General features: G+C 42.8%; 4 annotated features.

Moving 5' to 3' along the window:
• Nucleotides 15,451-15,953: an enhancer, noted in NCBI's record as "H3K4me1 hESC enhancer chr2:235079950-235080452 (GRCh37/hg19 assembly coordinates)". NCBI's record gives its function as "activates a minimal SCP1, AML or CMV promoter by ChIP-STARR-seq in primed H9 embryonic stem cells {active_cell/tissue: H9 hESC(primed)}" and the evidence as "EXISTENCE:reporter gene assay evidence [ECO:0000049][PMID:30033119]".
• Nucleotides 18,147-18,646: an enhancer, noted in NCBI's record as "OCT4-NANOG-H3K27ac hESC enhancer chr2:235077257-235077756 (GRCh37/hg19 assembly coordinates)". NCBI's record gives its function as "activates a minimal SCP1, AML or CMV promoter by ChIP-STARR-seq in naive H9 embryonic stem cells {active_cell/tissue: H9 hESC(naive)}" and the evidence as "EXISTENCE:reporter gene assay evidence [ECO:0000049][PMID:30033119]".
• Nucleotides 22,571-23,770: an enhancer, noted in NCBI's record as "BRD4-independent group 4 enhancer chr2:235072133-235073332 (GRCh37/hg19 assembly coordinates)". NCBI's record gives its function as "activates an origin of replication core promoter dependent on BRD2, P300/CBP, MED14 and CDK7 cofactors, and independent of BRD4, by STARR-seq in HCT116 cells {active_cell/tissue: HCT116}" and the evidence as "EXISTENCE:reporter gene assay evidence [ECO:0000049][PMID:35650434]".
• Nucleotides 22,575-23,075: an enhancer, noted in NCBI's record as "H3K4me1 hESC enhancer chr2:235072828-235073328 (GRCh37/hg19 assembly coordinates)". NCBI's record gives its function as "activates a minimal SCP1, AML or CMV promoter by ChIP-STARR-seq in primed H9 embryonic stem cells {active_cell/tissue: H9 hESC(primed)}" and the evidence as "EXISTENCE:reporter gene assay evidence [ECO:0000049][PMID:30033119]".

The raw sequence follows: 25,927 nt of genomic DNA, 5'->3' as shown, positions 1-25,927 counted from the left end.
GACTGGGTAATTTAGAAAGGAAAGGGGTTTAATTGACTTACAGTTCTACATGACTGGGGAGGCCTCACAATCATGGCGGAAGGCAAGGAGGAGCCAGTCATGTCTTACATGGATGGTGGCAGGCAAAGAGAGAGAACTTGTGCAGGGGAACTCCTTTTTACAGAACCATCAGATCTCATGAGACTTATTCACTATCACGAGAACAGCATGGGAAAGACCCACCCCCATGATTCAATTACCTCCGACTGGGTCCCTCCCATGACATGTGGGAATTGTGGGAGCCACAATTCAAGATGAGACTTGGGTGGGGACACAGCCAAACCATATCAGTCAGCTTAACAAAAATATGTAGAAGAATCATCTACTTAAAATATGGAGCATGAAGAAGTAAGGAGCACTTAGATGAGCTATCAAAAAATAATAGAGATTTGTAAATCTCCTAGAAATATTACTAAAAATACAAAAAAGAGATGCTTTTAGAAAAGCCACATTTATTAATTAATAATATTATACTGTATTCTTATTTATCTTATTATATTATGTTATAAATGCCAACTTATATTATCCAGACAACCTGTGTGTGGCTGAAATTATTTAACCACAACCCATCAGCTCACTCTGGGATCACCCCGTCTGTGTTCCTTTCATGCACTCAGTTCTGGAACTCAGTTTACGCTCCAGATGGCAGTGGTGGCAAAGGTGATGTAGCCCTCTGGGGAGCCTTCCAGACCTCTCTGATCAGGTCATAGCCCTGCCGTGGACATCTGTGGCATTGCGTATCGCTCCTTAGTAGTTAATTTCACATCGTTTGTGTAATGAGATAATTGATGCCTGTCTCCTCCCTCAGTCTGCAAGCCCCATGAGGACAGGACATGTGTTTATGGAGCCTGCCCTTACAATAGGGACTCCACCAAGATATCTTGATTGAATGGCAACTATAGAAATTCTGAAGCCATGTGTATAATTTCAATTTCCTGCCAGGCAGTCTCTTAGATACAATAAATAATGGACTTTTTAAAAAGTTGTGTTAATTTATTGATTGAGCAACTATATACTGAGCATCCACTGTGCACCAGGGACAATGCTAGGGGTATACGGCTGTGACCACCATAGTCACTGTCCCTTTCTCATAGAACAAATAATCATTTTGTCATTGTATACAATTTTCTTTTCGGCAATATCTCAAGTGTCAGTTAATAATATGCCCATGCCTTCATAAACAGAGCATATTTAAAAACTCGTTAGAATTCCTTTGCCCAACTGATTATGAATTTTATGTATGTAACAACATATCTCATTTCCTCCTTCATTGGAAAGGCTAGTCACTGCATGATGTCGCCTCTGCAATTAAAATGAAACAGAAACCTTTGTTTAATTAATGTAATCTTTAATTTGGATCAACTCTTTATTATAACTCTTCCCCCCCAATATGACCATCAAGAGTTTCCTATGGTCCTTGCTTTGCCATATTGGTAAAATCTTATAGAAACCTAGGTGAACCCTGTTGTGTTTATAGTCCAGGAAAATCTATTGAAAAATATCTATATTCCTTTGTAAAAACTATATGCCTGAAATTTACATCCTGCTATTGTGAATTCCTTTGGAAGGTTGATAAACTTCATATTAGCTTAAATCTAAAACTCCCTATTTGTCAAGAACTTTGAAGAATGACTTTCCGTATGACTAGCTAAAAGAAAAACAGAGCACATGTTTCTGTATATTGTTTCTCTGGATATAAATTAGGTTTACGTGAGAGAAGGATATCTAAATTTGTATTCTAAGTAATATAGCAAAGAATTCCAAAGCTGTTGCACAGATTGGAGCAATATCCACAGCCATTTTTATTATCAATACATAAATTCCTTCAGATAAAATGTGTCTCTATTTCTTTTCTCTCTCTTTATCAGTATATCTCCTTTCCATTCCTTCCACTGCCAACCTCTCCCTTTCTCACACCTTCACATAACCACACATGCATGGACACAGGCACAGAAACATGTCACAACTTCAAGGGAAAGGAAGCCATCCTGTGAGCATTGCAATCAACATTTTCCATCTTTGTTTTCTTTGAATGCATTTTTCCAGAGCAAAAGACTCACAGAAATAAAGGACAATAGGTTCCAAATCTGCTTCCAGCTCTACAGTTCCCAATTCTAAAAATGTCCATCAAAGCACATAAATGGGACAAATCTGCATACTTATTAGAAATCAAGAATAGGTTCCTTTTCATGTTGGAAAACAGAGGGTTTCCAGACCTGTGCAGGACTCAGTCTCCCGGTTGTAGCACATGTTCATTTCCGACAGCTGCCATAACTAAGCACCACAAACTGGACTGCTGAAAACATCCAAAATGTATCCTTTCACAGTCTGGAGGCTCCAAGGGAGAATTCATTCTGTGCTTCTCTCCTGGCCTCTGGTGTTGCCGGCAGTCCTTGCTGCTCCTTGGCTTGTAGATGCATCACTCAAATCTCTGCCTCCATCGTCACATGGCATTCTCTCTGTGTGTCTGTCTCCAATTTCCTTCTTCTTGTAAGGACACCAGTCATTGGGTTAGGGCCCATCCTAATCCATTATAACCTCATTTTAACTTGATTATATGTACAAAGACCCTATTTCCAAATAAGATCATATTTATAGACATGTGATTTTTGGGGGGATGCTATACGATGTAGTACCCAACACATGGAATGAGAATTTGAGAGGTGATCCTCATGGTTGCCTCCCAAACATCCAGCCCACCACTGGGGAGGAGCCCTCTGGTTTGGGTGGTACCATTCCCACACACACCTGGTTATTTTTATTAAGACAGTTGATACAGTTTCATCCTCTTTGTCACAGTGATTGATACAGAAATCAATGTGTCATGAATCATTAATTAGTGATTAGTAACACTGATTAGTTTAGGAGTAGATGAATGACTCCAGCTGGTCTCTTAAAAGGGAAGCCAAGACTTGTATTGATGGTCCAGGAGAGAGAAGTCTTTTTCCATCTCAACTGCTAAGGCGCAATGATGCAAAGCATAGTGCTGCGGAAACTGTTCAGCCAACACCGGGGACATCAGCCTGACAGTGAACCTGATGCAAGGAGGGAAAAGTGAAGCATCAGGGAAATGCATCTGGAGCTCTGATCACACCAGGCTGAATTACCTGTATTGCTGGGCTTCGTGGTTACAGGAGGCAAGACTTTTGCCTTTGATTGTTTGTCAGTTTGAGTGGATTTTCTTTTTCTTTCTTTTTTCTTTCTTTCTTTCTTTCCTTTTTCTTTCTTTCTTTCCTTCTCTTTCTCTTTCTTTCTCTCTCTCTCCTTCCTTCCTTGCTCCCCTCCCTCCCTCTCTCCTTTCTTTCTTTTCTTTCTTTCTTTTTTCTTTTCTTTCTTTCTTTCTTTCTTTCTTTCTTTCTTTCTTTCTTTCTTTCTTTCTCTTTCTTTCTTTCTTTCTTTCCTTCTCTCTCTGTTTCTTTCCCTCTCTTTCTTCCTTCCTTTCTTTTTTCTTTCTTTCTTTCCTTTTTTTGGACAGAGTCTTGTTCTGTCACCCAGGCTGGAGTGTGGTGACACAATCTCGGCTCACTGCAACATCCGCCTCCCAGGTTCAAAGGATTCTACTGCCTAAGCCTCCCAAGTAGCTGAGATTACAGGCATGCGCCATCAAGCCTGGCTAACTTTTGTATTTTTAGTGAAGACAGGGTGTTACCCTGTTGGCCAGGCTGATCTTGAAATCCTGACCTCAAGTCATCCATCCTCCTCGGCTCCCCAAAGTGCTGAGATTACAGGCGTGAGCCACCGCACCCAGCTGATTTTATTTATAGATGAAAGCATCCTCTTTGGTAAATTCCTTCTAAGAAAGATGGAATATTCCAGTAGAAAGGAGAAGGGGCCTCCAACAGACATCCATCAACACCCTGGGGATATAGGACTGGAGGGAGGCTGGGATGAGGTCATTAGGAGTCTGCCCTGAACCCACGCTTTGTTGTTTTGTTTTGTTTTGTTTTGTTTTGTTTTGTTTTGTTTTGTTTGAGACAGAGTCTCACTCTGTCTCCCAGGCTGGAGTGCAGTGGCACAATCTCGGCTCACTGCAACCTCCACTTTTCCAGTGAACTCCCTTTTGCTTCTGCCAGCAGCATCAGAGACCATGACAGTACAGGCAAGGATTGAAATCTTATTCACATGCCAGTGGCCACACCAAGCAGATAATTGGTCAAAAAATGAGGAGAACATGGCTTCCTTCAGTAGGAAATCCTTTCAGGCAGAGACCTGGGCATGATCTTTGGGAGATCCCCAAGATTTGATTCCTCTTATCAAAGAGCAATGAGCAAAACCCAGACACATCTGGTGGTGCTAGGCTGCGGAGGTTAAGCTTACTCATTGCACATAGTGAGCACTCAATAAATGCTAGCAATTGTTAGTACTGCATGAGAAATCTCTTCAAGACATATTGTTAAATTAAAACTGCACATTATTGAACAATAAATGCACCATGATTAGTTTTATGAGGAAAAAAATGAAACCCACAATACATTTTGTATGTACAAGCATGCTATAAATTTATAAATTCCCCTAGACCAAGGGCAAGAGGAATACACAGCAAAGTCATAATAGTTGTTATCGCTCGGAAGTGAAGGTGGGATGGGGGCTGGAAAGATGAAGAAAAACTCACATTTTACTACTGTTCTATTTTAATACACACAACTATAATATTTTACAATAAAATATGTACTCGTGTACTTCCTTTGGTAATTAAAAATTATTTTAAAATGCTCAGACTCACTAAGAATAAAAAAATGCATATTGGAAAGACAGAAAGATGTTATTTTTGTCCATCAGAGTGGCTAAAGTTGCAGAGATTTGTAATCTCCAGGGTTGGTAAGCATCTGAAAAAAATGAGCATTCCAATATTCTCTGAGTAATATAATTGTTACACGGTTTTAGGAGGAAATTTGACATTATCTTTCCAAATTTAGATGTGTTTACATTGTAACTCTAAAGTGTCTATTCTGGAAATTTATTCTCCAGAAACCCTCCCCCGTGTACACAAAAGATGGATGTTCAAGGATGTTCATTGTAGCATCTATGATAGTGGAAAGTAAGGAAGAGTCTAAATGTTCTTCAGTAAAGAATGGTTGAGGAAATGTTGGCTCATGTGTAGTGCAGAGCGGTGCTGGGCAGCAGAGCTTCCACAGGTGACAGAAATGCTCCCAGTCTGCTCCGTCCCGTACAGTAGCCACTACCCACAGGTGGCTGCCTAGAACTTGAAATGTGGTCATTGCAATGGAGAAACTGAATTTTAAGCTTTATTTCATTTTAATTATTTTAAATGGAAATAGATCCACCTAGTTAAGGAATACTATATGGGGCAGCGTGGGTCTGCAGACTACAACTCAGCCAATAAAAAGGAGATAGTTATATAAAAACCGACATGCAAAGGGATTTTAAAAATTGTTAAATTTTTAAGAAGCAAGTGCTGAGCCGTTTTATACATCAGGTATGTTTTTTTGTTTTCAAATATTTGTGCAAGTACAAATATATGTAAGTAAATGCATAGAGAATGTTTTGAAATCATACACAGCTGCTAATCTCTGGGAAAAGAGTAGAAATGGGAAGTGTAGGCAAAGGAACTTTTATATTTGACTTTGCATTTTATGACGATGTAATAATGTGCTATTGATTGATTTTTAAAATAATTTTAGAAAAGCAAGAGATAAGCTACATTGAATAAATCACTGTGATGCATATGTAATATTTTGAATGTATTCACACAGTCCCTTTCAAATGCCCCAACTTCTTGACATCTTTCTTGACTCTCCAACCAAATCTACTCTCTCCCTCCTTCAAAATCACAAGCTAGGACTCTCCCCAAGGCCCTTGTCATATTCTGCCTTAGTTGATCTCAAGTCTGTTTCTCCCCCACGAGACTGTCAGTTCCTTGAGGGAAAGACAGTTTCTTCCCTGTCTTATTCATTGCACAATATCCCCTAAGCACATTGCCCTGCATGTAATGGATACTCTACTTACTTATGCATGGAACTGGATTTTGAAAGTCTTTTATGGAATCCAGTAATCATTATTCATTCTCTCCTTTTTAGCAAACATCCTTTTCTTTCCATGATTATAATCAATACCACTTTCCAGGGCAAATGTGTATTCTCTGGCTGATGAGCTCAGCTAGTTAGAATTCTGCGTTCACAAGACCATAATCCTGGTGAATATCTGTCCTCTGTTCCGTGGCCACAAATGGTACCCCTAATTCCAGCCGTTACTAAAATGCCAGTTGTATACAATAATAAATATTAGATAGGAAAGCTGGTGGAATCTGCCTAAAACTGTCATGATTATTCTGGGTAAGGAGATATATTTACATAAACATACTTTATGAGGGTGATCTCTGCTCTCATCTGCCCTTCTCACTGACTGCAGACCTCATAAGGAAAGGAGACATGACTTGTTCATCTTTGTATCTGCTTCAATGCCTTGCATTACTTGGTGCATATGTTTAATAAGGGCTTTTTGAATTGAATTTTACTAAAAATGAATTACCTTGCTGGTAGTTATTGCAATACATGATAGTTATTGCAATACATGACAGTTAGGTGGAAAAGCAGCCAGAAAACCAATGTTTTTACATGCCTTCTATGTTATAGGTCCTACAGTGGGCTTTGAATCCATACTATTTTTAACCTAATAATAGCCTGGTAAATTATTCCATCACTGCTATAAATTTTAAAAATGAGGCAAACAAAGTGTAAGTGCAGGGACACCTAGATAATAAAAGGCTGAATGATATTTAAACTCATTTAGGATCTAAGCTCATAAAAGTTATTGCTATGACATGAAAACACTTGGTTTTGTAAACCCAGATAATCCTAGTCTATAATGAGGCATCTCCATGGCCCGATATACCAAGATTGAGTCCACATAGTGTGTGCAAGTCTTAGAAGCAAGCGCATCAATCACATATGAGGTAACTGGATTTCAATTGTAGTATAATTCAGTTTGGGTTTGTTTAACCATTGCCTGAAATTGTAAGACTATAACATTGAGAGGGTTGGTATCCATAAGATAGAAAAGGCAAGTGTAAGGAGAACAGAACTATCCTTCAACAGACTTTTTTTTTTTTTTTTTTTTTTTTTTTTTTTTTTTTTTCAGAGAGAGTCTTGCTCTGTAGCTCAGGCTGGAGTGAAGTAATGTGGCCATAGCTCACTGCAGCCTTGAAATCCTGAGCTCAAACGATTCCCCTGCCTCAGCCTCCCAAGTACCTGGGACTACTGACGTGCACCACCTCATCTGGCTTGCTCTTTCTTTCTTTCTTCTTTCTTTCTTTCTTGTTTTTCTTTCTTTCTTTCTTTTTGAGACAGGATCTTGCTATGTTGCCCTGGCTGGTCTTGAACTTGTGGCTTCAAGTGATCCTCCCACTTCAGCCTTCCAAGTAGCTCACAAGACTATTTTAATGAAGTGGTATTGAAATATGGATGGCTTCCTTTATAGGATTTAGCAAAACTCAATATGGGAAGGTGAGTTATGTTTTTATTTTCCACTAGTTCCAGTGTGAGAATGTTGCATGATGTATATACAGGGAAGACCTTAAAAACCAAATTAAACATCCAGACCCAGATAACCAACAGCCCATGCCATATCTCCTCCAACTCCTGCAGACATATGGATGTGAAAATCAAACTTGCTATTTTTCCTGAAGAATCTGTTATGGGAGGCAGAATAATGGCACCCAAAGGATGTCCACATCCTAATTCCCAGAACCTGGAACCTGTGAATATGTTATGTTCCATGGCAAAAGGGACTTTGCATATGAGACTAAGTGAAAGATCATGAGATGGAGAGATTATCCTGCATTATTGGGAGGGGAGTGCAATATACTCACAAGGACCCTCATAGGAGGAAAGCAGGAGTCAGAGTAGGAGATGGTGACATGGCTGCGGAAGCAGAGATTAGAATTTTGTAAGGCCATGAGCCAGGGAATGTGGGCAGCCCAGAGGAGATGGAAACAGCAAAGAAATGGATTCTCCCCGAGCGCCTCCAGAAAGAACGCAGCCCTGCTGACCCACTGGAGGCTTCTGACCTCCAGAACTGTAAGAGAATAAATTCGTGTTGCTTTAAGCCACTGAGTTTGTGATAGTTTATTACAGCAGCGGTAGAAAACAAACACATTTGTCATCCTTCTTACAATAGTCAGAAAAGCTGTAGGAAACAAGTAGCTCATTCAAAAAGGGTACTTGAGGACAATTTTATGAGTCATTTTCAAGGTGTGGGCAAAGTTGAAGAAAATCAGCAAGGGACAGCGATGCGCCTTGGCATCAGCCACACTGGGGAGCCATTCAGGCTGGACAGTTCCTGGCGCCCAGAGTGCAGCAGGAGAGCCTGTGGCCGCTGTTTGCCTGCAGCCTGGCACAGAGGCAGCCACGGATAAGTGGCCTCATCTCTCCCTCCTCCTACTCTTTGATCCCCTGCTGGTGCTGCTGCTTGGCCAAACCCAGCCAGAAGCCACAGCATTAGGGGCCCAGTTGAAATAGTCCATAAAGATAAGCCCCGCAGGGCACAGAGTGTAAAGGGAAAGAACAGAGGACATATCTGGTCTTTCCCTATATTTGAGATCGTGCTGAATGGTTCCATCATCACCCAGCCGCTCGTCTGGCAGCCTGGAGTCGGCTTTGCCTCCTCCTTTTCCTCCTGGCTTCAACAGGAAGATTCAGCTCACACAGTGACATAGCTTCACACTGTTTCTCTTATCTCTCTGTGCCCCTATTCAATCACAATGCCTGCACTACCCCCTCTCAGAACTAACCACTGGCATGAATGGACAGTTATCATTCTTCTCACACAGTTCTTTATATCATGACTAGATTATCCCTAAACAATACAGAGCACTATTTTACATGCTTTAAACTTAACATAAAAATGATAAAAGAATAAAAATGATACATTACTGGAGATCTGGACATGATATTCAGTAATTTGTGGATTTTTTTTTTTTTTTTTTGAGACAGAGTCTCGCTCTGTTGCCGTCTGGAATGCAGTGGTGTGATCTCGACTCACTGCAACCTCCGCCTCCCGGGTTCAAGCGATTCTCCTGCCTCAGCCTCTCCAGTAGCTGGGATTACAGGCACATGCTGCCACACACAGCTAATTTTTTTTTTTTCAATTTTTAGTAGAGACCATGTTGGCCAGGATGTTCTCCATCTCCTGACCTCGTGATCTGCCCACCTCGCCCTCCCAAAGTGCTGGAATTGCAGGAGTGAGCCACCTCGCCTGGCCAATTTGTGGAATTTTTGCATACACTTTTGTTTTACGTAATTGCATAAATTATATTTATGAACCCCATCATAAATATATGGACATATATGAACATATTCCTAGGTGGCAGATCTAATTAGTCTATTGTCACTGCTGTATAGAACCTGGCTGTGAATTTTAAGAAGTGATACTTATCATGATGCCCTGAGAGGAAAGTGGCTCAACTTTTCAAAGCGAAAAAAAAAAAAAAAAAAAAAAGCCAAGGTATTTCCAAAACCTGTTGTAACCAGAAGCCAAAGAAAAAAACCAACAAACAGCAGGAGGGTGAGTTGAGTGTCGTGGCCACAAATCTCCATTTATCTCACTTTGCACAACTCAAGAGCGTTCCTAGGTTTTTACTTTTTTCACTAAAGATGTGCTGTAATTCTCCGCTTAAGAAAACTTGCACTTAGCATCACTGCTTGGCAAGTTTATGCGGTGGTGACTTTGAGATACAGAAGCATTATAAAGCAGGACATTTGCTAGTACTGTTGTCAGAATTGGGAGAACTTTCGACAACAGAGCTAAGGCCAGAAAACAATCCTATGAGGAAAATAAGTTGAATTGATAGGCTTCTCTGCTTACGTCACTCAAAAACATAGTGGTTTAAAATGACATATGTGATGCGGTTTTCCCGATTATAAAGCAATAGCATACATTGCAGAATTTTAGAAAACACGTAAAAGTATTTAAAGAAAAATACTCTTCAAAAAACAGCATGATAGAATTCTTTCCAGAATTTTTCTGTAAATACACTTACTTGAGACTGGGGCTCATTCTCTCTGTTACAATTTTGTTTCAATCAGTTCTTTTCATAAGGCATCATGATAAGTATGCCCCATGCCATCAAAACCCAAAAATCTCACCATAATTTCAAATCAATAGGGATTTTTTTTTTGAGATGGAGTCTTGCTCTGTTGCCCAGGCTGGGGTGGAGTAGCATGATCTTGGCTCACTGAAACCTCTGCCTCCTGAGTTCAAGTGATTCTCCTGCCTCAGCCTCCCAAGTAGCTGGGACTACAGTTGTGTGCCACCACGCTCAGCTAATTTTTTGTATTTTTAGTGGAGATGGGTTTTCACCATGTTGGCCAGGTTGGTCTTGACCTCCTGACCTCAGGTGATCCACCTGCCTCGGCCTCCCAAAGTGCTGGGATTACAGTCATGAGCCACGGCACTTGGCCCAATGGGGATTTTTTTAAATGGCTTAATAGGTGGTGGCAGCACAATTTATTAACCAGTAGATAGAAAAGAAAAGGCCGGGAGCAGTGGCTCACGCCTGTAATCCCAGCATTTTGGGAGGCCGAGGCGGGTGGATCACAAGCTCAGGAGATTGAGACCACCCTGGCCAACATGGTGAAACCCCGTCTCTACTAAAAATACAAAAAATTAGCCAGGCATGGTGGCACGTGCTTGTAGTCCCAGCTACTTGGGAGGCTGAGGCAGGAGAATTGCTTGAACCTGGGAGGCAGAGGTTGCAGTGAGCCAATATCATGCCACTGCACTCCAGCCTGAGTGACAGAGCGAGACTCTGTCTCAACAGCAACAACAACAAAAACTGCAATACTACCACTATTTCTCTCCTTACTCTAAAATAAACTCTAGATTATAAAAAATTTAAGTATTAAAAAATGAAACATAAAAGTACTAGAATCCAGCTTTAAATGAATATTAATGATTTTGAAGTGAGGAAGTATTTTCTAAACATGCCACAAGACCAAAACTCATAAAGGTTAAAGTTGGACCATAAAATATTAACTTCTTTGTGAAAAAAATATGAGCCAAGCTGAAAGAAAAATGACAAAAGAGGGATACAGATTTGCTGGCAATGGGTTAATATGCAAAGAATACTTACAGTCAAAATTAGTTAAACGACTTAAGGGGTCTGTTCCCAAAAGGTTAGCTACATGTTCAGTATGACCTGGTTCAGCTTTATCAAAAAAAAGAAAGCGAGCAAGAGAGAGAGAGACAACTAAAGAAATCAAAGAAAGACAAACAAGGAAATGCAAATTTGTGTTTGCTATCAGATTGCCAGATTGTCAATGGTTGGTAATATTGATCGGACCCAGTGTTGATGCGTGTGTTGGAAAATGGGCACAGTCATGGCTGCTCACATTTCACTGGCCAAAGCAAGTCACATGACCACATTGAAGTTTAAGTGGGAGGGAAAGTTCCATTTTATTATGTCCAGTGAGAGGGTCGGTGAGTTCATCAACAGCCCTAATGACTACCGTACTGAGTGCTGGAATACTTAACACGATGTTTTACTTTCACCTTTGTACCTTTCAGTACCATTAATTTAGTTCTACAATTAACACATGCCTTAAAACAAAAAAGTGAGTGGTATGGTTTGGATATGCGACCCTGCTCAAATCTCATGTTGAATTGAAATCCCCAGTATTGAAGGTGGGGCCTGGCGGAAGGTGATTAGATCATGGGGGTGGTTTTCTTAGGAATGGCTTAGCAACATCCCCTTGGTGCTGTCCTTGTCATAGTGAGTGGGTGACTTCTCAAAGGATCTGGTCATTTAAAAGTGCGTGGCACCTCCTGCTCTTTCTCTTGCTCCTTCTTTCACCATGTGATGTGCTGGGTCCCTCTTTGCATTCTGCCGTGATTGGAAGCTTCCTGGGGTCTCCCCAGAAGCTGATCCTGCCATGCTTCCTGTACAGCCTGCAGAACTGAGAGCCAATTAAACCTCTTTTCTTTATAAATTACCCAGTCTCAGATATTTCTTTATAGCAACACAAGAATGGCCTAATGCAGTTAGTAAAATAGCATTATAAAAACAATTTACCAGTTATTTGGGAGGCTGAGACAGGAGAATCGCTTGAACCCAGGAGGTAGAGGTTGCAGCGAGCTGAGATCATGCCATTGCACTCCAGCCTGAGCGACAGAGCGAGACTTCATTGCAAAAATAATAATAAATTAAAATATTTCTATAATAACTCATTGTGTGACCGAATCATAATTTAGTAACCCAGTATCCTATCTTGGGCATTTGACCTTTTCCAAAGGTTTTGCCATTATAAATAACATTATGACAAATATTTTATTGCAAAATAGCTTTACTTGCATTTCATGAAGATAGATTGCTATCAGCGGAATTAGCAGATGAAATGGCATCTGTATTTTCTGACTCTCCTTTTCTTACCTTTCATACAACAAAACATAAATTTCATGAAATAAAATGAAAGACAAGGGGAATAAGGAAACTCTGATATCTGGAAAAAATGCCTTATATTCTTCAGCAATCTGTTGATTTTTTTTTTTATTTTGCAGAGCATCGCAGTTTTACAAACTTTATGGGCAATTTTGCAAGCAGTGGGGAAAGAGACAAATGAGACACAGTTAAGTGCCCTTCATCTTAACCAAGAAATCAGAGCATACATCCGGAAGTCAGGCTACCTGACCCCCTTTTATCAGCTCCTCTACCTTGGAAACACATCCATAACTTTGGGCCCTTGCTTAAACTCCCCAAGCCTCAATTTATTGACTGCAAAAGAGAGATTAAAATGCTCACTACTCAATGATATAAAATAAATACTTTGGAGAGGTCTATTAAGGGCTCTCTGGCAGGAATTGTTCCAGCTTCTTTTTTTTTTTTTTTTTTTTTGGTAATTTAATAATGTTGGTTTCAGAAACTGTTGCCAAGAATGGAGAGGTTTGTGAGTTCCTCTGGACTGAAAAGAAAGAGAATCAATGCATCGATTAGAGCACATTACTGTGTACGTTTCAGTACAACCTCCTTCCTACTTCACACTCCCCTCCAAAGCCCATGGAGCCAACCAGTGCTGGAAAAAAGATTCTGAAAGGGACAAAGATAGATTTAAGATTTGCAAGTTTCCAAATTCATCTTTGAGCAAGGATAGACCTCCCTCTTTCTAAATCACTGGTTTTTACTCAAGGCAATTTGGACTCCCAGGAAACAGTTTTGGTTGTCACAACATGGGATGTAATGGAGGGCATGACACTAGCATCTCTTGGTGGAGACCACAGCTGCTGCTAAGTGTTCTATGATGCCCGGAACCATCCTCCCCCACACACCATGCCCAGAATCATCCAGTCCAAATTGTCGATAGTGTCGTGTTTGAGAAATCCTGTTCTACATTGATGTATTCTAAAATTTGATTCCGTTTTTCTCTATTTAGCAATCTATTTTATCTCCAAATTTATACATCCATACTAATAACTTTATAGTTTTGTTTAGATGTCAAGGTTGACCAAGGTTTTTCTTCTTTTTTTAAATTTTATGTTTTATATGTATGTATTTTTTGAGACAGAGTCTCATTCTATCGCCTAGGCTGGAGGGTAGTGGCGTGATCTCGGCTCACTGCAACCTCCACCTCATGGGTTCAAGTGATTCTCCTGCCTAAGCCCCCTGAGTAGCTGGGATTATAGGCATGCACTACCATGCCCAGCTAATTTTTGTATTTTTAGTAGAGATGGGGTTTCACCATGTTGGCCAGGCTGGTCTTGAACTCCTGACCTCAGGTGATCCACTCCCCTTGGCCTCCCAAAGTGCTGGGATTACAGGCATGAGCCACCACGCCTGGACCATAGTTTTTATTCTAATTTCTAATTGGTTCTAGCACTTAAGGCCTTTACCGGCACCGGCATTTTAAACAAAATTTTAGAAGTAAAACAAAAACCAGGTGAAAAAATTTTTAAGTGATGCTTTGATTAATGAAAGGAATTATCTTGTAGTTACAACCTATTTAGAAAACAATATCCATGGAAATTTTGCTTATACAAAACCGTAGAATTTGAACAAAGCTATCCCCAGATGAAAATTCTATTTTAAAAGCTTTTATTATGTGGCAAAAAAGAGAGAAAAATATCAATAAGCCAAGGATTTCTCTTCAGATTTAAAAAAGGAGGAAAAAGAAAAAATAGCAAAATCCCGAAGGAAAAAATAACGATGACAAAATCAGAAATTATTAATTACAAAAATTAAATAAAATTGTTAAATACATCCAAATTAATTATTCAAAAAGGCAATGATGATATGCAAGTTTCCCAAACTGAGAGTATCATAAGACAACCTCAGATGCTTGGTAAAATTAAAGTTCCAGGTCTTCCTACCACCCCAAATTAAAATCCAGAACATTTGGGGAGAGGCCCTGAAATCCGTATTCTTAGCCAACACTCCAGGTGATACTTAAAAATGGATATCCTTAGGAAACTCTGAATGTAGTCACTCTTTAGCAAGGCTAATTAAGAAAACAGGAGAGAAAGTCCAAATATGGAGCTTTACACATGCAAGGTGATTCAGAACTGCATTTATGGAACAGATTTTTAAAGTATGAGAGAATAAAATGTCATCTATTACCGGAAAACCCTTCTACGCCTGCTCTGAGCTTTGCTGCCGTTTACATTCTGATAATGGATATACTGAATCTCCTAAATTTGTTCTTCTTGTCACTTATTATCTCTACATGCCTGTCACTTGTTTATCTCTTCAGTTTTGCTTTCTTCATTAATCTCGGCAGACTTTTCCTCTGAGAATTTCAGGGCATCTCATCTAACCTTCTCTGCCTCCGCTGACTTTTCTTCTTTTAATTCACTAGTTGTACTTTTTAACAGAAGACCCTTTTTTTCTGCTCTCGTGTCATTCTCTACTCACAGATACAGTATCCATTGAAAACAGATTGAGAGCACTCCAAAGCTCTCTTCCTGCTTCCCGGAATAAGCCTATGTCACGCCCAGGAATTAGGGAGTTATGATACGGATGGTATTTGCTCTGAGTTCCTAGCCCAGTTTCTCCCAGAGCCATCATCACGGGGCTTTTCAGATGTCCTGTTGCTTTTCTTAGCTTGCTTAGCATGCAGAGGGGTTCTGATCTGTATCCAGGGAGCACCGGCGGTGAAGGTGGCTTCTGTAAGAGACGGGGCGAGATTGTGTAGGATCCTGCTGAAAGTGTCTCAACCCAGATTTACCATGCTTTTCACTTTGGCAGGTCAGAAGTTGCATTCTCTGCAAAAGACTTCATAGCTGTACTGAGGCAGGCTGGGTCACTGGCCACTTCTCTAGCGGCCGTGGAGCCTCTGGTTAGCAGCCGGTGGTGGCAGAGCCCACAGTGTCAGCGCGCCCCTGCCTGTACCTGGAGACGCTGGGATGAGGGCCTCCGTGGACCCCCTGCTCCTGCTGCCGGATCCAGGACCCTTACTGGGAGGGAGAGTGGCTCCTCCTCCCTGGCATGTCATCGGGGGCCCACATCACAACATCTCCAAGGACAGGCAGGGGCACCGTAAGGCTGTGGGCGCCGCTACCCCTGGCTGCTAACCAGGGGCCCCACAACGGCTGGAGAAGTGTCCGGTGACCCAGCCTTCCTCGGCACAGCCATGAAGCCCTGAGCAGAGAACGTGACCTTGCCTCTTATCTCTGTAGCATGGACCACAAGGTACAGATGGAGGTTGCGATTGCCTCCCCAGGTAGAGGGGGACACACACACCTCAACATGTCCCCATTCCTTTCTCTCCCTCTAATTTCCCTTACATGAAACATTTTGCAAAACTCCCTTGAAGTTCCTGGCGTGCTGTTGAAATGCACCCTCCCGGGTCTCCAGCGCTCACGTATGTTCTTCTCTTTTGGGTTACTTTCTGGATTTGACATTGGGATGGGGGAGGCATGTTAGAGGCATATGCTCCCTTCGCTATTTTAACCGAAAAGCCTATAGTGTTCTACTGAAAGGGAGTTTTCTTTTTCTTGCTGAAAGTGGAACCAGACAAGATAGACACGGCACAAACGAGTATCTAAGGTGAGAAACAGCAGATGGCAAGGAAGCCAGCTTCCAAAGGTCTTGTGGCGCCACCGCAAGGGACGGCAGAAGGAGCCCAGGACAACTCAGCCCTATCCCCTTTAAGATGGCGACCTCCCTTCTCTCCACTCCTCCAGGCGACTGCCCGCCTTTCTGAGAACAGCGCAGTGGGAGGACCACCTTTCCACAATTTGAGTCTTTAAAGCAGAAGCCTCCCTACTACGATTTCACTTTGCACGGTCGAGGTCTCATTTTCACAGGAAACTCATTTCACAGAGGCTTTCCTTTCAACCCACATCCAGTTGTTGGAAACAAAGATGTACATGTCACCTAAAAAAAAAAAAAAAAAAAAAAGGCTGGGCGCGTGGCTCACGCCTGTAATCCCAGCACTTCCGGAGGCCGAGGCGGGCGGATCACCAGGTCAGGAGATGGAGACCATCCTGGCTAACACGGTGAAACCCTGTCTCTACTAAAAATACCAAAAAATTAGCCAGGCACGGTGGCTCACGCCTGTAATCCCAGCACTTTGGGAGGCCGAGGAGGGCAGATCACCAGGTCAGGAGATGGAGACCATCCTGGCTAACACGGTGAAACCCCGTCTCTACTAAAAAATACAACAACAAAAAAAAGTTAGCCAGGCGTGGTGGCGGGTGCCTGTAGTCCCAGGTACTTGGGAGGCTGAGGCAGGAGAATGGCGTGAACCCGGGAGGGGGAGCTTGCAGTGAGCCGAGATCGCGCCACTGCCCCTCTAGCCTGGGCGACAGACCGAGACTCCGTTTCAAAAAAAAAAAAAAAAAAAAAAACAGAAAATAGTTCAAACAAAGGGACAGTAGAAAATGAAAATCTCTACCATTTGTCAAAGGGCCCATTAAGCTCATTATTTTCTGAAAAGCAATCTTTCGGCCGCCTTTTGTCAGTTCCAAGTTTAGAACTGCACATTCAGGTTGTGAACGTGGAAATTAAGCTAAGAGGGGCTTGACTGATGCTATTTTTAAGGCAGTCCACGTGTTCTCATGGGATGGGAGGAGAGACGCAAATATTCATTAGGAAAGGAGCACCTCATTGGCTGTAAGCTCCACTTCTGCTGCCTCTAGCATTGGCACAGCTTGGAACCATCCCACAGCCCTTCCAGCCCCAGAACACCTCAGTGTCCCATGGCTGGCTTCCTACTGTGGCTGCAGCTAGTTCTGAACACCTGGCAGGGCTTCCCTGGCCTTACTACCTACAGTTCCAAGGGTCCCTGTTCAATCCTCCCCTCTTCATTCTTCAGCTTTTCCAAGGTTTCCACTTTCATGACAGAGAAAAACGAAAAGTGAGCTCATTGTAACCCACAGGGCTGGGGATTCATGATCCCCTTGACTGGGCAAGCAAATCACTTTTGTTGGTTTTTCTAACCTGTTGGCCTCTGATACAAACAGCCCCTCTAGCAGTAGAGCTGGTGTTTGCAAGTGGGACCTTGGAGCTGGAGCTTCTGGCTTTGAACACCTGCCCCACAGTTTCCTGGTTGTATGACCCTAGAAAAGATAATTGGCTTCTCTAAGCCCCAGGATGATCAACATACTTACCCCAAGAGAGTAATTGTGAGGATCAGAAAATATTATTCATGGAATGCTGCCTAGAATGAATACTGTCCTCCAAAAATGCATGTGCACCTGAAATCTGTGAAGGTGACCTTATTCGGAAATAAGATATTTGCAGCTGTAATCAAGTTAAGATGAGGTCACATTGGATTAGGGTAAGAAGAGGGAAATTAGGACACAGAGGCACACAGAGGGAAGATGGCTATATGGTAACAGAGACACAGAGTGGAATGACCCTATCATAAGTAGCTATTACTTAGGACCAAGTGAAAGAATGTCAAGAATTGCTGGCAACTACCAGAAGCTGGAAAGAGGCCAGGAAGCGTATTTTCTTAGAGTCCTCAGAAGGAGCACAGCCCTACTTCCAGCCTCCAGAGCTGTGAGACAATGTCTGTCTCACCACCATGTTTGTGGAATTTGTTACAAAAGCCTTAGCAAACTAATTGTAGATCCTTTAATATAGTACCTGATGCATAGTAAGTGAACAATCAATATATAGGTGTTTTTTATTAGCCTATCAATGTGTCTAGACATAGTAGGTGTTCAATAAATGTTTACGGAATAAAATATGTAATGTTAATACATCTCTTTGAAGTGTATTTTAAAATATATTTCTGCGGGGAAAAGAAAGAGAGATCAGATTGTTACTGTGTCTGTGTAGAAAGAAGTAGACATAAGAGACTCCATTTTGCTCTGTACTAAGAGAAATTATTCTGCCTTGAGATGCTGTTAATCTATAACCTTACCCCCAACCCTATGCTCCCTGAAAACATGTGCTGTGTCAACTCAGGGTTAAATGGATTAAGGGCTGTGCAGGGTGTGCTTTGTTAAACAAATGCTTGAAGGCAGCATGCTTGTTAAGAGTCATCACCACTCCCTAATCTCAAGTACCCAGGGACACAAACACTGCGGAAGGCCGCAGGGACTTTTGCCTAGGAAAGCCAGGTATTGTCCAAGGTTTCTCCCCATGTGATAGTCTGAAATATGGCCTCGTGGGAAGGGAAAGACCTGACCGTCCCCCAGCCCCACACCTGTAAAGGGTCTGTACTGAGGAGGATTCGTATAAGAGGAAGGAATGCCTCTTTGCAGTTGAGACAAGAGGAAGGCATCTGTCTCCTGCCCGTCCCTGGGCAATGGAATGTCTCGGTATAAATCCCAACTGTATGTTCCATCTGCTGAGATAGGGAAAAACCTCCTTAGGGCTGGAGGTGGAACATGCGAGCAGCAATACTGCTCTTTAAGGCATTGAGATATTTATGTGTATGCATATCTAAAGCACAGCACTTAATTCTTTACCTTGTTCATGATGCAGAGACCTTTGTTCATGTGTTTATTTGCTGACCTTCTCTCCACTATTATCCTATGACCCTGCCACATCCCCCTCTCCGAGAAACACCCAAGAATGATCAATAAATACTAAGGGAACTCAGAGGCCGGTGGGATCCTCCATATGCTGAATGCTGGTCCCCTGGGCCCCCTTATTTCTTTCTCTATACTTTGTCTCTGCGTCTTTTTCTTTTCCAAGTCTCTCATTCCACCTAACGAGAAACACCCACAGGTGTGGAGGGGCAACCCACCCCTTCATATTTCTAAATAAGTCTTTATGCAGAAAAATGTATAATATGATGATATTTAGTGTTAACAATTTTTAAACAATTTTAAACCTAAGATAAGCACAATAAGTAAATTATGGTATCTCCATATGGCAGAATTATATATATTTTGCAATAATTAAAAAGCATTTGTGGCCAGGCATGGTGGCTCAAACCTGTAATCCCAGCACTTAGGGAAGCCAAGGCGGGTGGATCATGAGGTCAGGAGTTTGAGACCAGCCTGGTCAACATGGTGAAATCCCGTCTCTACTAAAAATACAAAAAATAGCCAGGCGTAGTGGTGTGTGCCTGTAATCCCAGCTACTCGGGAGGTTGAGACAGGAGAATTGCTTGAACCCGGGAGGCGGAGGTTGGGGTGACCTGAAATTGCGTGACTGTACTCCAGCCTGGATGACAGAGCAAGACTCCATCTTGAAAAAAAAAAGTGTAAGGATTTTAATATTATTAAATATTTTGACACAAAATATATTATTTCAATATAGAATTTTTTAGTATCATAGAAAATAAGTTACGGTGAAGTTAAATGAAATAATAATATAAACCTATTAGGTTAATCTATATTAAAATATGCATAAAAAGTTTGGAGTAGTTACCTATAAGTCATTATAAGTGATTCTTTTTCTTTTTTGTGTGCTCATTTTCATATACATTTGCCATAGTGAGTGTGTTTTACATTGATAATAAACAGAAATTTTACCTTTAAAAAAAACCAATTCAGGTAGCAAAGTATACATGTAATGTAACAGCATATACCTTCCCATCCTTCCTTACATTGTGCCATGGATTTTATAAACCAGAGTGATTTGTGCGTGTGTGTCTAAAAACAGCATTTGCAAAACGAATTACTTTGGACCAAGTTTGTATCTACAGCATGAAGAGTAATCATTTGTTGGCTTGAAATGGCATTCTATTTTGCAGAGAGCTATGTTCCTGTGAGATATTGACTGAGGCCCTGTCTCAGCTTGAAAATATAAAATGTGTGAAATCAATCAATCAATAAGTACTGTTTTAATGATCATGATGTGCCTGTGATTGTACTAGGCACTGGAGGTTGAAAAGAAATTTAACCAGAGAGTTTTAGAGTTCCAAGAAGCATCAATGATCACTCATTTCAACCTTCTACCCAGAAAATGAATGTTCTGTATTATAAAGCTAGTTGGGCATTGTGATAAAGCATAACTTTGGTGGACTCCAATGATGTATTCACGTTTTATGTGGTTCTCTCACTTTGAATTTGCTCTGGCCCAGTGACCCTGCTTCAACCAACAGAATGTTGCAGAAGTGAAGCTACGCCAGTTCTGGGCTTAAACGTCAATCAGGCCTAGCAACTTCTCTTCTGTCTGGATGAAGGTAGACACAGCATAAGAACTACCTGTGACCATGATGCTCTGAGAAGCCAGCCTAACTATGTGCAGAGGCCACATGGAGGAAAACTGAGGCCTCCAGCCCACAGCCCCAGCTGAATTTCTAGATGCAATCAGCACTAACCTGCCAGCTATGAGTGAGGCCATCTTTGAAGTGGATCCCTCAGCCCCACTCAAGCCACCCAGATGATGCCATATGAACTGCCCCTGCCGAGCCCTGCCCAGATTGCAGAATCATGAGAAAATAAATTAAAAAGGCTTTGTTTAAGTCAGTAAGTTTAGGGTTAATTTTTTTGGACAGCAACAGATAACCAAAGCAGAATTCTAGTCTCAGCTTAAACACTTTTAGGAACAGAAGACTCCATGCCTCGTAAAGTAATCCATTCTGTTTCTTAATAGCAATAGTTATTAGAACATTGTTCTCTATATTTAACAAAAATCTGCCTTCCCATCACTCACAACCTGTCTCTATGGTAAAGTCAGTCTGTGTGCCTGCCACATGGCAGCTCTTCCAGTTTTTTTCAAAGAGTCATGGTCTTTATTCACCACACCTCCAGTTCCCATTGCACCCTGCACACCCAGGGTGCACATGAACAAGTCTTTTCTTTCTAGACATAAATATCTCCAACTCCTTCATGTCCCGATTCTTTCCCTAAACAGCTCAAACTCTTATTAGTAAACCAGATGCTACCTAGAAACACATGTGGGACCCCCATCACTGTGTAATAAAGTGATACCATCTAAAAGTGTTCCAGAGCCAAGTCGAGCAATCTTCTATACACATCCAGTTTGTCTTGTGGGTGGCGTGTATGTGTGCACATACATAAGGTTATTTTTGTTCTTGTTCTAAAATATTTCTGAGAGCATGGGAAATGGAATTACTCTGGTAGAACCACAAATTGAATAACTAGACCAGAATAAGTTATGGGCCTTGCATCTATCTGAGAGAGAATGGGTGGAATGTTCAATGTGGTCTCCCACAGCTGCAGAATGTGAGCCTTTCAATGTTTTCTTTGCCTTTCAATCCATGGCTGCTCGGAAATATTTTTCTCAGATATTTACTGACTAGGCCGAGCAAGGGGGTTGGGTTGATTGGAGGCAAGTATGGAAGCAAGGAGAAGAGCTAGTGGCTTGCTACAAGGAAGGCTGAGCGAGGCTGAGAACCGGAATAACAGGCACAGGAAAGGGGAGGGCCTGGGTGTCCCCATCCAGCCCTGGGGCATCCACAGAAACAGGGCCGGTGATGGTGCCTCCTGGAGGGGAAGACAAGTGGGGATGGGGAGGGGGGGCTTGGGGGGTGGGGGGTGGGCGGGACACTGTGAGCAATGGAAGCTGAAATCTAACACAGGAACAGAAAAGCAAATGCCACATGTTCTCACTTATAAGTGCAAGCTAAGTACTGAGTACATGTGAACACAGAGAAGAGAACAACAGACACCGGGGCCTACTGGAGGGTGGAGGGTGGGCGGAGGGTGAGGACTGATCAACTGCCTGTTGGGTACTACGCTTATCACCTGGGTAATGAAATAATCTGTACACCAAGCTCCTGCTACACGAAATTTACCCATATAACAAACCTGCACATGTACCCCTAAAAACAACAAAAAGGAAAAAAAAAAGAAAGGGAACCCGAGGGATGGATGCAGCCTTGGCTGCTTCCCTATGATCTCCATGGACCCTCGGCTGCTCGCCCATGATCTCCATGGACCTCTGAGTCACCTACTTTTATCCATCAGTGCAGAGTTGGCAATGCGATTTTAAAGCCTCGCCCCCAGGCTTTTCTCAGCTCCTGGCTTTTAGGTTCCAGTTCAGCGGACCCCAAGAGTAGTCACAAGAGCAAAACAGCTGAAAAAAGAGGTGAGATAAATCTCAAAGGGGAACTGAACTTTCTTCCTCCCCCTTATATTCAATCTGTGCCTGACAGCCATCCCTTGAGACCTGGCACTGGCCTCAGAGGAAGCAGGAAACCACGTGCCAGCCATCACCCCAGTGCCCTCACGGTGCAGTCACGGCGCAGCGGCTCGTTTACCCCAGTACCAGACTCTCAGCTGAGTGCCGTTAGCCCAGTTGACAGATGAGGAGGCAAAGACTCTGAAGGGCTACATGACTTGCTCATAGTGGCAGAGCCAGTATTCAAAATCAAGCCTTTCTTTGCGCTGCACCACTGGGCTGCTCTGATGGGACAACTGCCCCTGCTGTGTGTTTCAGAAGCTAAAGGTTTTGCCCAAGGCCTGCAAGGGGTGGTCTTTCCCTCAAGTAATCAAAGCCCCAGTAGGCCTTCAAGGTGCCTTGTCTCTTTTGTGATTTAGTCACCTACATGGAGAAACTCACAAATCCTCCCCCAGGACACGGCCAAGGTCATAAGAAGGTCACCATATAGAGAGCCTCAGTGTCTTGGCATTGGTGACCCAGGTCTGGCTCACAGCTGAGTTCATCCCTAGGTGGGACCGGTGCCCACGAGACCGAAGCCTTTGCCTCCGTGGCTTCCAGTTGGATTTGGTGTTGCCCGGGCTAGTCTCCTTCAGTCTTCTCCCCCTTATTCCTGAGGCTCCAGGGCTCCCGAGTGGGTCTCCAGGTAAGGTAATCACTGTGATCCTTTGTTGTAAATGAAATAGGAGAAGAAATGGGCTCCATCAAGCAGCAGCTAGCCATTGTGGCATGCATTATTTATGCGAAAGATACGAACATTTCTGCCTCTAATCCTAATGAGATGAGTTCGAGGGAGAACCCTGGGATTCATAAATTTGTCTACGGAGCAGAATTCATAATAAAGCCAAATGTGAGTGCAGAGTCAGGCATTTCTTTTGTGTGTGCGGTTGTCATTTGAGAGACAAAAAGCTTAAGATGTCAGGGAAAAAGAAAGAGAAACTATTTAGAGATGAACAGATGCAAATGTAAATAGTTACTGGAAGATAAATGGAAATGCCAAACCCATAATGCATAGAAGGTTTCAGGGGGAAAATTACAGCTCAGATCCAAAGAGGATCAGATAAGATAGACGATATTGCATGTAATTGTATTTTACTCTAATCCTCACTGGGAAAGAGACAGAGAAAGCTTGACTTCATGTCTCCCTCCCCGGGTCTTCAGTTTCCCTCCAGCAATACTCAATCTGGAGTTACTCCTATGATGTTGATCTCCAAATTACTGTCCACTTTTCAGTCGTCCCATGAGCCTGGCCATCATGGCCCTCACCTGGACAGGTGTAGCCAGTCCTCTGGAGCTCAGCTGTTTACCCCCATCTGTTCCCGGGCTTCCAGGACCACCTGGCTGGACATGTATTATGTTCTACCTCTCTGGACTGCCTGTCTGCTTCACATTGAGCCAGGTTTACATATCTGCTTTAACTCTCTCCCCCGACAAGCAGACATATATGTGTGCACATGCCCATCCACACAACACCCAGACGCACACAACATCCATATACACACACACAACATACACACACCACACACATACACACACACACACACACACACACACACACCATCTTTTTTGGTACACTCTGGAATGGTAGCCTGATCCAGATATCTGATTTCTCCCTTTGCCTGCTTATGACCCTGGAATCTGGTATGAGCCACCCTGCCTTGCAGGTTTGCAGAAATTCTTCAACCCCTCGGGCTGTCTCACTGTGCAACTGTAAACATGTTCCTGTCTACAACTGGTGATGTAGAAAGGTTGAAGTCAAGCTCATTCTGAATAGTAGAGACATAAATCTAGAGTATTTTGAGCAGTCTGAAGAGAGACTCCTACCCAAAGACAACTCACCTAATGCTTGTCCTGGGGCCTGAAATTGCAGCATGAATAAATCACAACATTGACATTGTAATTGAAGAGTAAATCTGTGTGTGCATAAGATAAAATACGTAAAAGGGATGGTAGGGCCTTCAGCAATGTGCTCCTAGATGGTTCATCAGGGCTCTGTTGTGGCCTCCTCACTCAGTGGCTCTCCAGACCTGTTTGTTGTGGAGGGCTCCGGCAGCACATTGGTGGGAGGGGCAGGACCGGGTCGCTTCCTCATAGATGTGAGTGCATTGGTTACTCACCAGACTAGGGACTGGGAGGGCAGACTAGGGACTGGGAGGGCAATGTGCTTTTTCCTCTAAGGAGAGTTTGAAAACTCTAGATACTGGATGAGTTCAATTCGTTTCTCTCAAGGAAACAATGGCACAGTATCTAGAATATGCAGTGGCAGGAGTTAGCTTTTACTACACACACTCAGGTCATTTGTCAAGACATTCATGGGGCTCCAGAGAACACCTGGTGGCTCTCAGTAGTGTGATCAGAGTGGGGGCGCCATCCCTGTCACAACAAGAGACAAGACCGAGAATGGGATTTGGAGTCAGCAAGAACCGAGTTCAATTCACTTAGTGGTGTACAGTCTTGAACTAGTAACTTAACCTCCTGACACTCGGTTTTCTTGTCTGTAAAGTGAGGCTGATAACAGGGCCCATCTCAGTCATTCAGCCAATGAACCCAGTGAACAGAGTGCAGTCATCAGCACGGCACACAGTAAATGGGGCCACACCTTTCATCAGCAAACGTGCTCAGTCACTAAGTGTTCTGAATCATTCACAATAGCAGCTTTCTCCAAATCAATCATCTTAGGAAACCGATGAGTCCAAGGCATTAATAATATTACTAATGACAAGTCATAGACAAACACCTTGGAGAGGCTTCAGGCTCTGGGGAACGAAACAGCAGGAGGAGCACAGGCTGAGGGAGGAGGGGGTCCCCAGGGGGTTACCGACACCCTGGCACCCTGTCTCAAGCTGAGTGGTTTTCACTCCAGTCAGGGGGGATGAGAGTGGTCCTTCATATTTATTTTAAGATATTTATTCTATGGGAATTGTATTTACACTCTTTAACAGAGGACTTTCCGACCACATTTTGGAACTCCAAGGCAAATAGCCTAACTTAGAAATGTTCCGGGTGCCTGGCTTTGAATACTGATCTGCCTCTTCCTAGCTCTCTGCATTTGGCAAGAAACTGGGCCACCTCAGCACCCCATCTGTGGAAAGAGAATACCTGTCATTCCCGCCACATAGGGCCTTGTGCGAGCTGGACAAGTTCACCCCAGCAGAGTGCCTACGACAGCACCTAATGTTCAGTGAGTGCTCCATAACAGCGGCTATCATTATGATTGCTGTATTGTATTTGTTCAGACAATATTTTGGTGCATCAGGTGCTGGGCTCAGTGCTAGGGTGGTCCCCACCCTCTGCCTCCAGGGGGCTTGCACTCTTCCAGGCCAGTGCCTCCACTTCTGCTCTGGGCCTTGTCCCCACTCAGGCTACTCAACGACACTCGGGGATTCTCTCCCCTTTGCGTGCTGCATCATC

This window comes from Homo sapiens, chromosome 2 (genome assembly GCF_000001405.40).
Source record: "Homo sapiens chromosome 2, GRCh38.p14 Primary Assembly".
Lineage (NCBI taxonomy): Eukaryota > Metazoa > Chordata > Mammalia > Primates > Hominidae > Homo > Homo sapiens.
Note: the sequence above shows the minus strand (reverse complement) of the source record. Positions and strands in the feature narration are given on the sequence as shown.